The 12,101-nt window shown below is 46.7% G+C and overlaps 2 annotated features.

Annotated features, from left to right (window-relative positions):
* Positions 8,838 to 9,132: an enhancer, noted in NCBI's record as "tiled region #12327; K562 Activating DNase matched - State 5:Enh, and HepG2 Activating DNase unmatched - State 1:Tss". NCBI's record gives its function as "activates a minimal TATA promoter and a strong SV40 promoter by Sharpr-MPRA in K562 cells, with weaker activation in HepG2 cells {active_cell/tissue: HepG2 | K562}" and the evidence as "EXISTENCE:reporter gene assay evidence [ECO:0000049][PMID:27701403]".
* Positions 9,438 to 9,732: a silencer, noted in NCBI's record as "tiled region #12099; K562 Repressive DNase matched - State 5:Enh, and HepG2 Repressive non-DNase unmatched - State 1:Tss". NCBI's record gives its function as "represses a minimal TATA promoter and a strong SV40 promoter by Sharpr-MPRA in K562 cells, with weaker repression in HepG2 cells {active_cell/tissue: HepG2 | K562}" and the evidence as "EXISTENCE:reporter gene assay evidence [ECO:0000049][PMID:27701403]".

Consider the following 12,101-nt stretch of genomic DNA (forward strand, 5'->3'; position numbering starts at 1 on the left):
CTTTGAACTGTGGAAAAGGTTTTGCCTCTTTCTGTTTTCTCCTTTAAAATGCAAGACCGTCCCATCTGCCCAGTAGATAAAACACGACTGTGAGTGCCTTGCAGTTCCTTGAAGGCTGCCTTGTGCTCGGGAGTACCAGACAGACCTCATCTCACTGCCAGACACTGGGTGCTGTCCATGCACCTTGTTGGCCAGTGAGGTCCAGGATTGGAAGGCAGCAGGCTCGGATTTTACTCTTGCTTAGGTTGCTAACTTATGACCCAGTTGTTAGGCTGTGTTGGGTCAGTGGGCCTTGGGCACAGTCCCAGCTCTGCTAGAGCTTGCTTAAGTTTCCATGTTCAGTTTCAGGGGCTTCATTTTAAGAAGGTCCTTGGCAAACTGGGCAGCATGCTGGCTAGAACGGGCGGCATGTGAGAGAGATGTCCAGAAACAATGAAGAAACAACAGGAGTAATAATTATAATTGTACAAGGCTTTCCATTGCATTATCCCATTGGATTTACTCAATCTTTTTTAATTTTTATTTTTAAACAGGGTCTCACTCTGTCACCCAGGCTGGAGTACAGTGGTGCAATCATAGCTTACTGCAGCCTTGACCTCCTAGGCTCAAGCGATTCTCCTGCCTCAGCTCCTGAGTAGCTGGAACTACAGGTGTGTGCCACCATGCCTGGCTTGATGTGCTAAATCATACAAGGTATTTACACTTATTCTAAAGAGATTCTAGAGACCTTAGATGGGAGAGACTGAGGTTGGTGCCTAAGATCCTTCTTCAGTGGATTATTTAACAGATGGCTTGGGACAGATTGGAGACGGAAGTGGTCATTACAGAGGGCTGCCATGGCTTCACTCTCATTTCCTTTCTCCAGCGTGACCCTGTAATTGATTATAAGAGCTAATATATATGAAGTGCTTTCTATGTGCCCGGCACTATGCTAAGTGTTTCCAAGCATTTAAGCTTCACAACAAACTGTGAGGTGGGTGCTGTTATTATTTCTATTTATAGATGAAGAAACTAAGCCTTGGAAACAGAAGCACCTGCGTTTCTGTTTGTCCCTGTTCTTTCTGTTCCTTAAAAGCCTGGCTTGTTCTCATTCTTCAGGACTCAGTTCAAGGTCGTTGGTGAGGCTTTCCCTGCCCACCTATCCAGTAGCCCACTGCTGACTCCATGGCCCTGGCAACACTCACCCATGTCCATCTCCTTCATAGGACATATTAGAATCTGCAGACATCTTAAAAGAAATTTTTTTTAAGATATGGGGTCTTGCTCTGTTGCTCAGGCTGGAATGCAGTGGCACGATCACAGCTTACTGCAGCCTCGAACTCTGGGGCTGAAGCAGTCCTCCCACCTCAGCATCCCAAGTAGCTAGGACCACAGGTGTGAGCCATAATGCCCTGCTAATTTAAAAAAAATTGTAGAGACAAGGTTTTACTATATTGCCTAGGCTGGTCTCAAACTCCTGAGCTCCAGTTTTCCCACCTTGACCTCCCAAGGTGCTGGGATTACAGGCATGAGCCAAGGTATTTTATTTACTTATTCACTGGCTTATTTTCAGTCTCTACTATTCAGACATAAGCTCGGTGAGGACAGGGACCTTGTGCCTCCTGTTTATCCTATGTTGGTGTCTAGCAGGGTGTCCAGAATATAATAGGAGCTCAATAAAATATTTGAATGGATGAATGCATGCAGGAAAGAATGTAATTCAATAATGGGATTTGGGCCCAAGTTTGTCTCATGTCAGAGAGCAAGGGCTCAATGCCCCTCTGTTCTGCTCCTGTGTTTTACTCACTCATCCATTCAACAAGCTTCGTTAAATTATCAACAAATGCCAGGCACTGAAGTAAGTGCTGGAGAATCCAATGAGTAAGACACAGTCTCTGGCCTTGAAAACCTCACTTCTGAAGGGTCGAGGTAGTGGTTGGAAGTAGAAAGTTGACACACCTTATAATAGAGTTAACTACAAAGTGACATAGCAACAAAAAGGGACTACCTAGCTGCCCCTGCCAGACTGGGAAGACTTCTGCAGAGCTGGTTACTTTGAACCTGACCTTTAAAGAGGATTCTGGGCTGTTGGGAAAGGTGCCCATGTATAGAGATAGGGAGAACACATGAATGTCTAAGGACCAGCGTGGGACTCTTCCCATCCTACACTGTTGAGTCACATTTTGATCTCTGTGCCCAGTTGTTAGGAGGGCCACTGACCAACTGATCATTTAGTGGGAACATCATGAAGGGGAATTTTGCCTGGGGTGGGGGTAGACTGCACTGGGAGTGGTATCTGTACAGCCCCTAACTATCCTCCAATTCTAAGAGTGGTGTGACTGGAAGAACTGTCTCATGGAGAAAGGCACCAAAAGACAGAACCAGACTACAGGGACATATTCTTCAGGACAGAATTCATGTGTGTGTGTGTGTGTGTGTGTGTGTGTGTGTGTGTGTGTATGAATATGAATATATATATCTATATATATTCATAGCACAGCCATATTCTTGCCCTAAATTTAGAGAATTTCCTAATGAGAAGGATAACTACAACCAAAGCGTACATATTGATTTGTAGTTTCCAAAAGATTTTCTCAAACATGATCTCATTTGATCCTCCACTAGCCTTCTGGATATTCTGAAACTCAGAAAGACCATTTATTATTCATTTATTTGGTCAATGTCTATCGAGAATGAAGCCCCAGCCCAGACCTGGGCCGTGCACAGGGGTATAGTCCCAAAAGTACTTAGGTACAAAGAGGAAATGAAGGGCCATGACTCCATCCAGCATGTAGGAAAGGAACTCCACCTAGGGACGCCTGAATCGTGCTGAATGTGGGGGCCAGCATCCTGGGTTCCTGAGTCAGTCTTGCCCTGTGCTCACTCTCCAGGCATTGGGTAATTAAATGAGATCATTACTTCATGTGTCCTGGTTAGGTTATAGGCTGGCTGCTAAGACAAAGACCCTTAAATAGGTAGGACTGCACCAAGATGAAAATTGATTTTTCTCTCTCATGCAGCCCTCCAGCCAGGTATTGTGGCTCTGCTCCAGGAAGTCATGCAATGCCAGGCTCTGTCCACTTCATTGCTCTGCCAGTTCTAGGGGGCTGACCCCATCCAGACGGTCCAAGATGACTCCTCATCACGACTCATGCTGTGTTCAGATGCAGCCTGATACGGACACTTAAACGATATCTCCAGGACCTGGTCCTCTCTCAGCGCGGCTCCCTCATCCTCTGAATGAGAATCTCCTCCGCACCCTCAGACAGGCTCTTCCACCATGATTGCAAGAAGGTTTGGGCAGCTCCCTCCTTCATGTGTTCTCAGCTTTATGTCCACCGTCTCCCCTGTAAGAGTCAAATGCAAGTCCTGTGCTGCCTCTCAGTGACCTGCACCAATCCCAGTGGTGGGACAGGAGAACTTGTTCACTAAGACTATTAGAAGCTCCCCCTCAGCCCACCCCTGCAACTATGTGGCTGAGAGTGAGGGAGGGATGAGTCCCTAGAGAAAATTCTCTATACTGTTTGACCAGGAGAAGGATGAATGACTGTAAGTTGGTTTAAAAAAACAACTCATATTTCTTCTCTCAATTATATGTTCTCCTAGAGTCTATGATCCATAGCAGCTGTCTTCAAACTCCCCAATTTTGACTATGCCCCCAATAAGCACGTTTATTTCTTTGTAAGTATGCACATGTGCTATTCTACTAATATATTTCCGTGCCACAGACTACTAGTTGTGCCCAGAGGTCCATCCTTTCCTACTTCCTTAGCATAGCATTCCCTGAAGGGCACGTGGCATCTTAGAATAGACTACATTTCCCAGGACCCCTTGCAGCTAGGTGTGGCCATGTGACTAGATTTTATCCAGTGAAATGTCAGAAGTGGGGGGCGGGGTGCATTTCCAGGAAGTGTGCTTAATGAGACAGCATGCAGTTCTTCCCTCCTTTTTTTCCTTCCTGCTGCCTAGAAAGTGAACGTGATGGCTGGATCATGAGCAACAACCCTGGATAATGAAGTGGAAGCCACATGTTGAACATCTTGGAGCAACCAGAGAAGACATCTTGCTAGCTCTGGGCAGCATACCACCAGACTCCTTTTATTTTATTTTATTTTTTGAGATGGAGTTTCGCTCTTGTTGTTCAGGCTGGAGTGCAATGGCACAATCTCGGCTCACCGCAACCTCTGCCTCCTGGGTTCAAGTGATTCTCCTGCCTCAGCCTCCCGAGTAGCTGGGATTACAGGCATGCGCCACCACACCCAGCTAATTTTGTATTTTTAGTAGAGATGGGGTTTCTCCATGTTGGCCAGGCTGGTCTCAAACTCCCAACCTCAGGTGATCTGCCCGCCTTGGCCTCCCAAAGTGCTGGGCTGGGTGTCAGCCCTTGCTCTGTGGTGCCCAATAGGGTTAATGACATTTGTGTGGCTGTGCGTCTCCTCTCCTCCGAATACACTGTGCTCTCTGAGGCAGGAGCCCTGAAGGAAGTTCTCTGAATCACCTAGCACATCTAGGGCAGAAGCCCCCTCAGTCCTTGTCTTTTGCTTACTCTTCTGGGTCTTTTTCTGTCATCCAGATCTTGCTTTTGCTGTGGAGGAAGAAGACAAGAAACTCTAAAGGAATTGAAAAGATGAGATACGATCTGAACCTGAAGAAGTGGGCAATTTGTAATTGTCAGAGAAACAGATGTGCACTTCCAGCCCGTGCTGCTGCTGCTAAGGTGCACCCACTCACAAACCCACTTCTCTGAGCACATGACTCTGCTAGCTCCATGGGGCTCTGCAGGGAAGGAGTGAGGGAGGGGGAAGAGGCAGAGAGCTGGGTTGTCTGAAAGCTTTCTCCAGGTCTTGCCTTTCTCTTCCCTGGAAGCCAATGCCCGTGAGGTCATATCCATCACATTACCTCAGAGATTGTCAGGATGGACCCAGTTCCATCACTCTGAGGCTGAGGGTCTGCCAAACCCCATTGAGGCTGTACCTGGGAAACCAGACCCTGCCTGTCTCTTTAGGATCTGGGCGAGTCCATCCTCCCTCCCTTCTCCCCCATGAGGCACCAGTGTCCTGATTGTATCACAGCTTCAAAATTCCCTGACTCATGCCATCCTCGATTTTAGAAAAGAGCTTATTCAAGTGGTGTAGGCTGCACACTCCACCCCCTCCCACTCAATTCAGCGATTGAATTACAGCACCTGTGTGTGGCAGAGGGGCCAGGGAAGGAAGGGGCTGGGGAGGCGGAGAGGGGCTCCTGGAACAAGAGGGAGAGGCCCTTGAGGCAAACTTGTGATGATCTCGTTATGAAAGGAATCTCTTGGTGCCCAAAGAATGGCTGGCCTTTAACCCCACGTGTGGGCTGGTTGGAAATGAGGAAGACCTCTGAGGTCATCCAAGTCTGCTAGGGAAATGCAGCCGAGCTGGGAAGGAAGGTATCCCCTACCCCCATCACATTCTGATCTGGGCTGTTCTCCCACACTTTTAGGTAGCCAGGCTATCATGTGATTTGCTAGTAACCATAGCAACAAACCTTGTTTCATGAAGTATATGGAGAGCAATCCCACAGAAAGAGATCCGTGTTGTGCTTTACCCAAGGGCAGCTTGCCTCCAACTCAGTCTGTTCTCCATTACTGCTGTGGCAATTGTTGTTGTTGAGGAAATGGCAGTGATTTGCTCTTTCTGAGCTGGAGACATTGTGGATATTGTTTTGTTCCCCTCCTGCTACTCGTCTCCCTATTTTGGAGCACAGTCTGTGAAGACGAAAGACAAAAATAGCTCTCTCCAAGGGAGGGGATGCTAATGCATTTTCTGTGCTTTCAAAGACTGGCTTTTTGATTGTAAAAACCTCCACCTCCAGTAACTTAAACCTGGTAGCAAGTTCTGCTCTCTGACCACAAGAGAAAGCACTCGTGACAGCCACTGGGGTTCACACACTGCTGTCTGCCATGAGAAGCCACAGAGAAGTGGTCTGTGCTAGGAAGACTGAACAGCAGTGAGCGGGGGTGCACGCCCACCCAACTGCAGGCACCGCCACTCTACGGCTCTCAGGCAGAGCTAGAGGAAGTGGCTCAGATATTCTTTGTTGCAAGCGAAGGGCATAATTATAATTTGGCGAAACACCCGTTGTTAAGTGATCCAGCAGCCAGCAGACAAATGACTGCTGCGGAATAATGTCTGAGCACGCACAGCGGGCCCTCCGAGCTGCCCATCAATCTGCCTTCACAGAGACAAGCCAGTCAGGTGCTGCCTTTGTAGGAGAATGCCATTCCTGACTCAGCCATGTGCCTTCTGTGTGACCTTGAACAAGTCACTTAGTCTCTTTGGGTGTCAGTTTCCCCATCTTTAAAATAGGCAGAGTGATTTTTGGGTAGCTGTTCTCTCTGGGTTTTGATAACAATCATATTTGATAATATGGAGAAAGTACTACCATATGGAAATTAAAAGGAAAGTACTTCAAAACTATAATCACTACAAAATATCATTATCCTTCTTTTAGCTGTGGAAATATCCATTTCTAAAGGATTCAAAAAGTCGGAACAAATAAGTAATTAGGTCAAAAAGTAGTGCCAAGCTACAGAAGTTACCACTATGTGGTTTTCAGCTAACATTTAATGAGTGCAAAGCCAATTGTGTATTTCATTTCATCTTCACAACACTTCCATGGGTGTCATTGATTTGCATTTCACAGATGACACTCAAGTTCACGTAGCCAGTGATAGAACCAGGATCCAGCTCCTGGCTAGTCTGATTCCCAAGTCTAGGTTGTTAACCTGCTGCTGGAACATTGTGCTGGGGCCATTTCATTGGAAACATTCTCTGTGCTGTTGGAGGGCGGTTACCAGGTGGTTTCCTGGGAGCTCATAGAGCAATATGGTGTGTGTGTGTGTGTGTGTGTGTGTGTGTGTGTGTGTGTGTATTTATGTTTATAAACAGGAGGCTGCCTTGCTTCCTTATTTTAGGGTCACTGATTTGTCCCATGCTAACACGACCATCTCTTAGGGTCTTCATGGAGAACTTCTAGCTCAGCCAAGAATTTTGTGCCTGACCTGGTTTTGATGGTGGGAACAGAAGTGCTGTTAGTGAGTGTGCAAAGCCAGAAAAACGGAGTCTTGTGACACCATTGTCGAGGCAGAGAAGCAGAGTCAGCAGGTGAAAAGTTGGGGCACCCTGGTTCCATCCCCTCGGATTGTCTAATCTCACTATACTGGTCACATGTGCCCTTGCAGAGTCACTCTAGACTCTTCTTGTCCTTTTATGGCCTGGTGGGCTCATCCCCTGGACCACATCAACGAGCCTCCTTGCCCTTTGTTTTCTGGTTGCATTTGGGTGATGGGGAGCCTTGGCAGGAGAAAAGTGAGGCCAGGGTATTATTCTCCCGGTTCCCTCTCTCCTGGGTGGCTAGGGTTGGCTGCCCTTCAGTGATAAGGACTTCCAGCTGTTGCTAGCCCTGGGGTATCATGTATCCCTTGCAAAGTTTCTTACCTTGCTTATACTTTTATAAATGTCCCCTTACTAAACTCTCCTCCATTACCTAGCTGAAGTGTGCTCATTGGCTACCTGATGGGACCCTGCCTGATACAGTAGGACATAGGACCTGCTTCCTAGGACTATTGTGACAATGAAATGAGTGAATACGTGTAAGGCAGGTGCTCCATGTAGCTAGCACATGGAAGGGGGATTAGCCCTCTTTCCCAGTGCATTTGCAAACGCCCTCTGCAGGGCTATAGTGTGGCCAGCAAACACTGTGTTTGGCGGGGTAGTTTGTCCAGTAGCCCCACCTCCATTCTCTCCCCAGTTTTGGCTGGCTTCCAAAGGGAAACGAGCACATTCAATAATGAAGTCGTGATTTGTATACTGGGAAAAAGAGAAAAAAATCCATTAAGTTCACTGAAGGTGCAAATGAAGGGTGAAGAAGCATACACAGAAGTATGTATATATTTATTTATCCTAAGAAAATATATTAAGCACCTGCCATGTGCAAATGATTTGGCAATGAATAATATAGATGTGGCCCCATGCTCTCATAGAGCTCCAAGAGGAAAGACTCACAGTGAAACAGAGGATACTGAGCAATCTTTTCCCTTGGGTAGATGAGGTGTCCACTGAGTTTGAAAGGTGAGTTGGTAACAGCCAGATTGGGGATAGGATGGTAGAGAGGCAGGGGAGCCTCTTGGGCTGAGGGGATCCCATAGCAAAGAAGAACGTAGCTGCAGAACAACCAGCAGAGCACGGAGTGTGACTGTGAGTTGCACACAGAGGCTGGACCCTGGCAGAATTTGTCTCTTGTATCAAGAAACCTGGACTGCAGTGAGGACTTTACACAGGGGAGAAACACAGTCAGATTTGGGTTTTAGATGGATTCCTCCAGCTATTATGTGAAGGACAAATTTAAAGTAGGCAAAACTCCCAACTTCTGGGGAGGCTTAATAGTCATCAAACTGTTGACAAGAAAGTCCCCAACAAGGTCAAGGGTCCAAGTGATAGGGAAGAGGCAACTGTTTGAAGAAATACTCTGAGGGGTAAAATCTCAGGACTTAATAACTGATTGGCTTTGGGATATGAAAGAAAGAGAATAATACTCCTTGCCCGCCCCCTGTGTATGCAGATGATGGATGGATGGTAGGCTACCAACTGAGATGGAGAACGTAGAAGAAAAAGCAGATTTGGGAGGTGTGGTGGCTCTTGTCTTGTCTATCTGGGACCTTGTGCACTTCTGGCCCCACTTTGATAATGGACCCCAAGAAGTGGGGTCATGATCCAAGCCAGGCCTGTCAAATTCACTCCTGGGAGCTTGAATCTATACAGTGACCTGGTTCTCACCCAACAGTCACCAGGTTATTCAGTGATCCCCTTGATTCTAGGAACCACCCTGCAGTCCTTCCAATTAATAAGCTAGTTGGGATCAGTGCCTGTTGCTTGCAACCAAAGACTCCTAGTGGACAGATGAAGAGTTCAGTTCTGGATCTGATGAGTTTCAGGCCCATGTGACATCCCTGTGATGACCAGCAGCTCCAGGAAGTATGAATCACAGAGGAAAGGTCTGGGCTGGAGTTATCAGCATATGAATCATGGTTGAAACTAGGAAAGCATCAGACCACCAAGAGAGAGAATAGCAGTGGGCAGAGGGTGGAGTCCAGGAGAACAAGTAAAAGCTGAGGGGAAGAAAACAGGAGAAACGGGAAATTAAATGGTCAGAGAGGCCAAGGAGAACCAGGAGAGCAGGATTTCCTAGAAACCAAGAAAGTAAGAGTTTGAAGAATGAATAGTTGAAGATTTTACATATAGCCGAGAGGCTAAAGTAAACTAGGGGCTGAACTTTGGACTTGAAAAGTAGTTTGTTGATGACTCATGGGGCAATCTCACCAAAGGGAGGAAGATGGAAGCCAGGCTGTGTGAGGTGGCAACGTGCATGGGAGGTGGGAGGCGAGGAATTGGAGGGAGTGGGTTTGGGCAGTTTTAAATGAGAGATGAAAGAGACAAGACAGTCCTGGGGGGAGGTGGGATCAAGGGAGGGCTTGTGTTAGTAACTGCAGTAAGGATTAGCCAGATGCAGAAGCCTTCCACCCAAAACCTACTACCGTGTGGTTTGAGTGAATCAGGACTTGAATGGTAATGATAACCCCAACCACACAGAGCACTCTTTCCCAGGTGGGAATTTTGCCTGCTGTCAGATGCATCATGACTAAGTGCTGGGGGGTGGGAGGGGCTGATGAGAATTTTGGAAGTATATCAGCTGGTAGATTTCTTGTGCTACTCATGCCTGACCTAGTTTCTAGACAGGACAAAAGCAAAACAATAACAATAACTAAGTGAAGAAAAAGAGGACAAATTGTGTTTGTTCTTTTGTATTCAAGTTAAAAATCCGCTCCCCACCCCAAAATTCAGGAAAAAACAAATGTCTCAGAAATTAGTATTAAAAAGGACAATAACTGCTCTTAGGTTAGAGTATGAGAATATATTCCTGGCCAGGCATGGTAGCTCACGCCTGTAATCCCAGCACTTTGGGATTATGGGCGGGGCAGATTGCTTGAGTCCATGAGTTTGAGACCAGCCTGGGCAACATGGCGAGACCCTGTCTTGACAAAAACATAAAAAATTAGCCGGGCATGGTGGCTCGTGGTTGTAGTCTCAGCTAATCGGGAGGCTGAGGTGGGAGGATCACCTGAGCCCAGGATGTTGAGGCTGCAGTGAGCCGTGAACGCACCACTGCACTCCAGCCTGGGCGATGGAGCAAGATCCTGTCTCCAAAAAAGGAAGGCTTAGCTTGGCTGCTTCCTTGTGCTGATTAATGTTTCATAGATATATTTATTGGCAAAGGATGGATGAAAATACAGTTGAACTAAGACAAGTTTTTAAAAAAATTATTAAACATTTATTGATATTATAAAATTTATATTTGCTCATTGCAGAAAGTTTGGAAAACACAGGAAGACATAAAAATAGCCTGAAGTCCCACTACTAGTAATAACATTTTGGAATATTTCCTTCTAGGCTTTTCGTCAAGTAGCACATCCAATTTTGACAGCTGTTTTCATGGCAGCACCACTAAGGTCAATTGCAAGGCTGGCCTCAGGAGATACTGTACAACAGGGGCCTCATATACTGTGCGAAGGGAAGGGCAGAGGGTGACACAAGAAGAAGAAAAATCAATCTGAATGGTCTAGTTTTATTTTATTTATTTATTTATTTATTTATTTATTTATTTATTTATTTATTTGAGACAGAGTCTTGCTCTGTCGCCCAGGCTGGAGTGCAGTGGCTCAATCTCGGCTCACTGCAACCTCTGCCTCTCGAGTTCAAGGAATTCTCCCTGCATCAGCCTCCCGAGTAACTGGGATTACAGGAGCCTGCCACCATGCCCGGCTAATTTTTTGTATTTTTTAGTAGAGATGGGGTTTTGCCGTGTTGGCCAGGCTGGTCTTGATCTCCTGACCTCAGGTGATCCGCCTGCTTCAGCCTCCCAAAGTGCTGATGGTCTAGTTTTAACATCTATGGCAGAAAATAGCAACAAGAGAAAGCCTGGGTATGCCCCAGAGTTAGATCTGGAACCCAGATCTCCTGATCCTAGGATCAGAACTCTTTGCATCGTCAGACAGGTGTCTGTCATATTACAGGTGTAGATGTTTAAGAAACCTGACATCCTAGTCCATTCCACTCTACATTTCCACGTCTAGGCTATCACTCTTATATGAGTTGCTGTGGTAGATTGGATTATTGTTCGCTATTCTTTACTCGTCCTTTATGTGATTTTGCAATGTCTTCTGGTAGAGTTGGCCAATACTTTTTTGCCCCTTTGTCTTTGGACTTAACCATGTGTGATATTGTGAAAGATACATATTTGGTATATTTGGTCTTGGTCCCATTTCCTGGCATACAACTCCTAAAATACTTCGAATTTTCAAAGTGATGTGTCTTGTGTGCTAATAAGCTGATTATGGCTGGCAGCCCCTAGGTAGCTTTGGGATGGGGGCTGGTCACTGGAGAGACCAAGGCAGGATTACAGGGGTGGAACTTTCAGCCCCAACCCTCAACCTCCTGGGAGAGAAGAGGAGCTGAAGGTTAAGTTGTCGCCAGTAGCCAATTAATTGTGCCTATGTAATAAAGCCTCCGTAACAACCCCATAGGACAGGGTTTCTCTCTCTCTGTCTCTCTCTCTCTTGCTCGCTCTCTCTCTCTCTCTCTTTCTGGAGTTTTGCTGTATCACCCAGGCTGGAGTGCAGTGGCGCGATCTTGGCTCAATGCAACCTCCGCCTCCTGGGTTCAAGTGATTCTCCTGCCTTAGCCTCCTGAGTAGCTGTGATTACAGGTGCCCGCCACCATGCCTGGCTAATTTTTTTTTTTTTTTTGAGATGGAGTCTCGCTCTGTTGCCCAGGCTGGAGTGCAGTGGCACGATCTTGGCTCACTGCAAGCTCTGCCTCCTGGGTTCACCCCATTCTCCTGCCTCTGCCTCCCAAGTAGCTGGGACTACAGGCGCCCACCACTATACCTAGCTCATTTTTTGTATTTTAATAGAGACGGAGTTTCACCATGTTAGCCAGGATGGTCTCGACCTCCTGACCTCGTGATCTGCCCACCTTGGCCTCCCAAAGTGCTGGGATTATAGGCATGAGCCACCACGCCTGGCCCAAATTTTT

Source organism: Homo sapiens, chromosome 8, assembly GCF_000001405.40.
Source record: "Homo sapiens chromosome 8, GRCh38.p14 Primary Assembly".
NCBI lineage: Eukaryota > Metazoa > Chordata > Mammalia > Primates > Hominidae > Homo > Homo sapiens.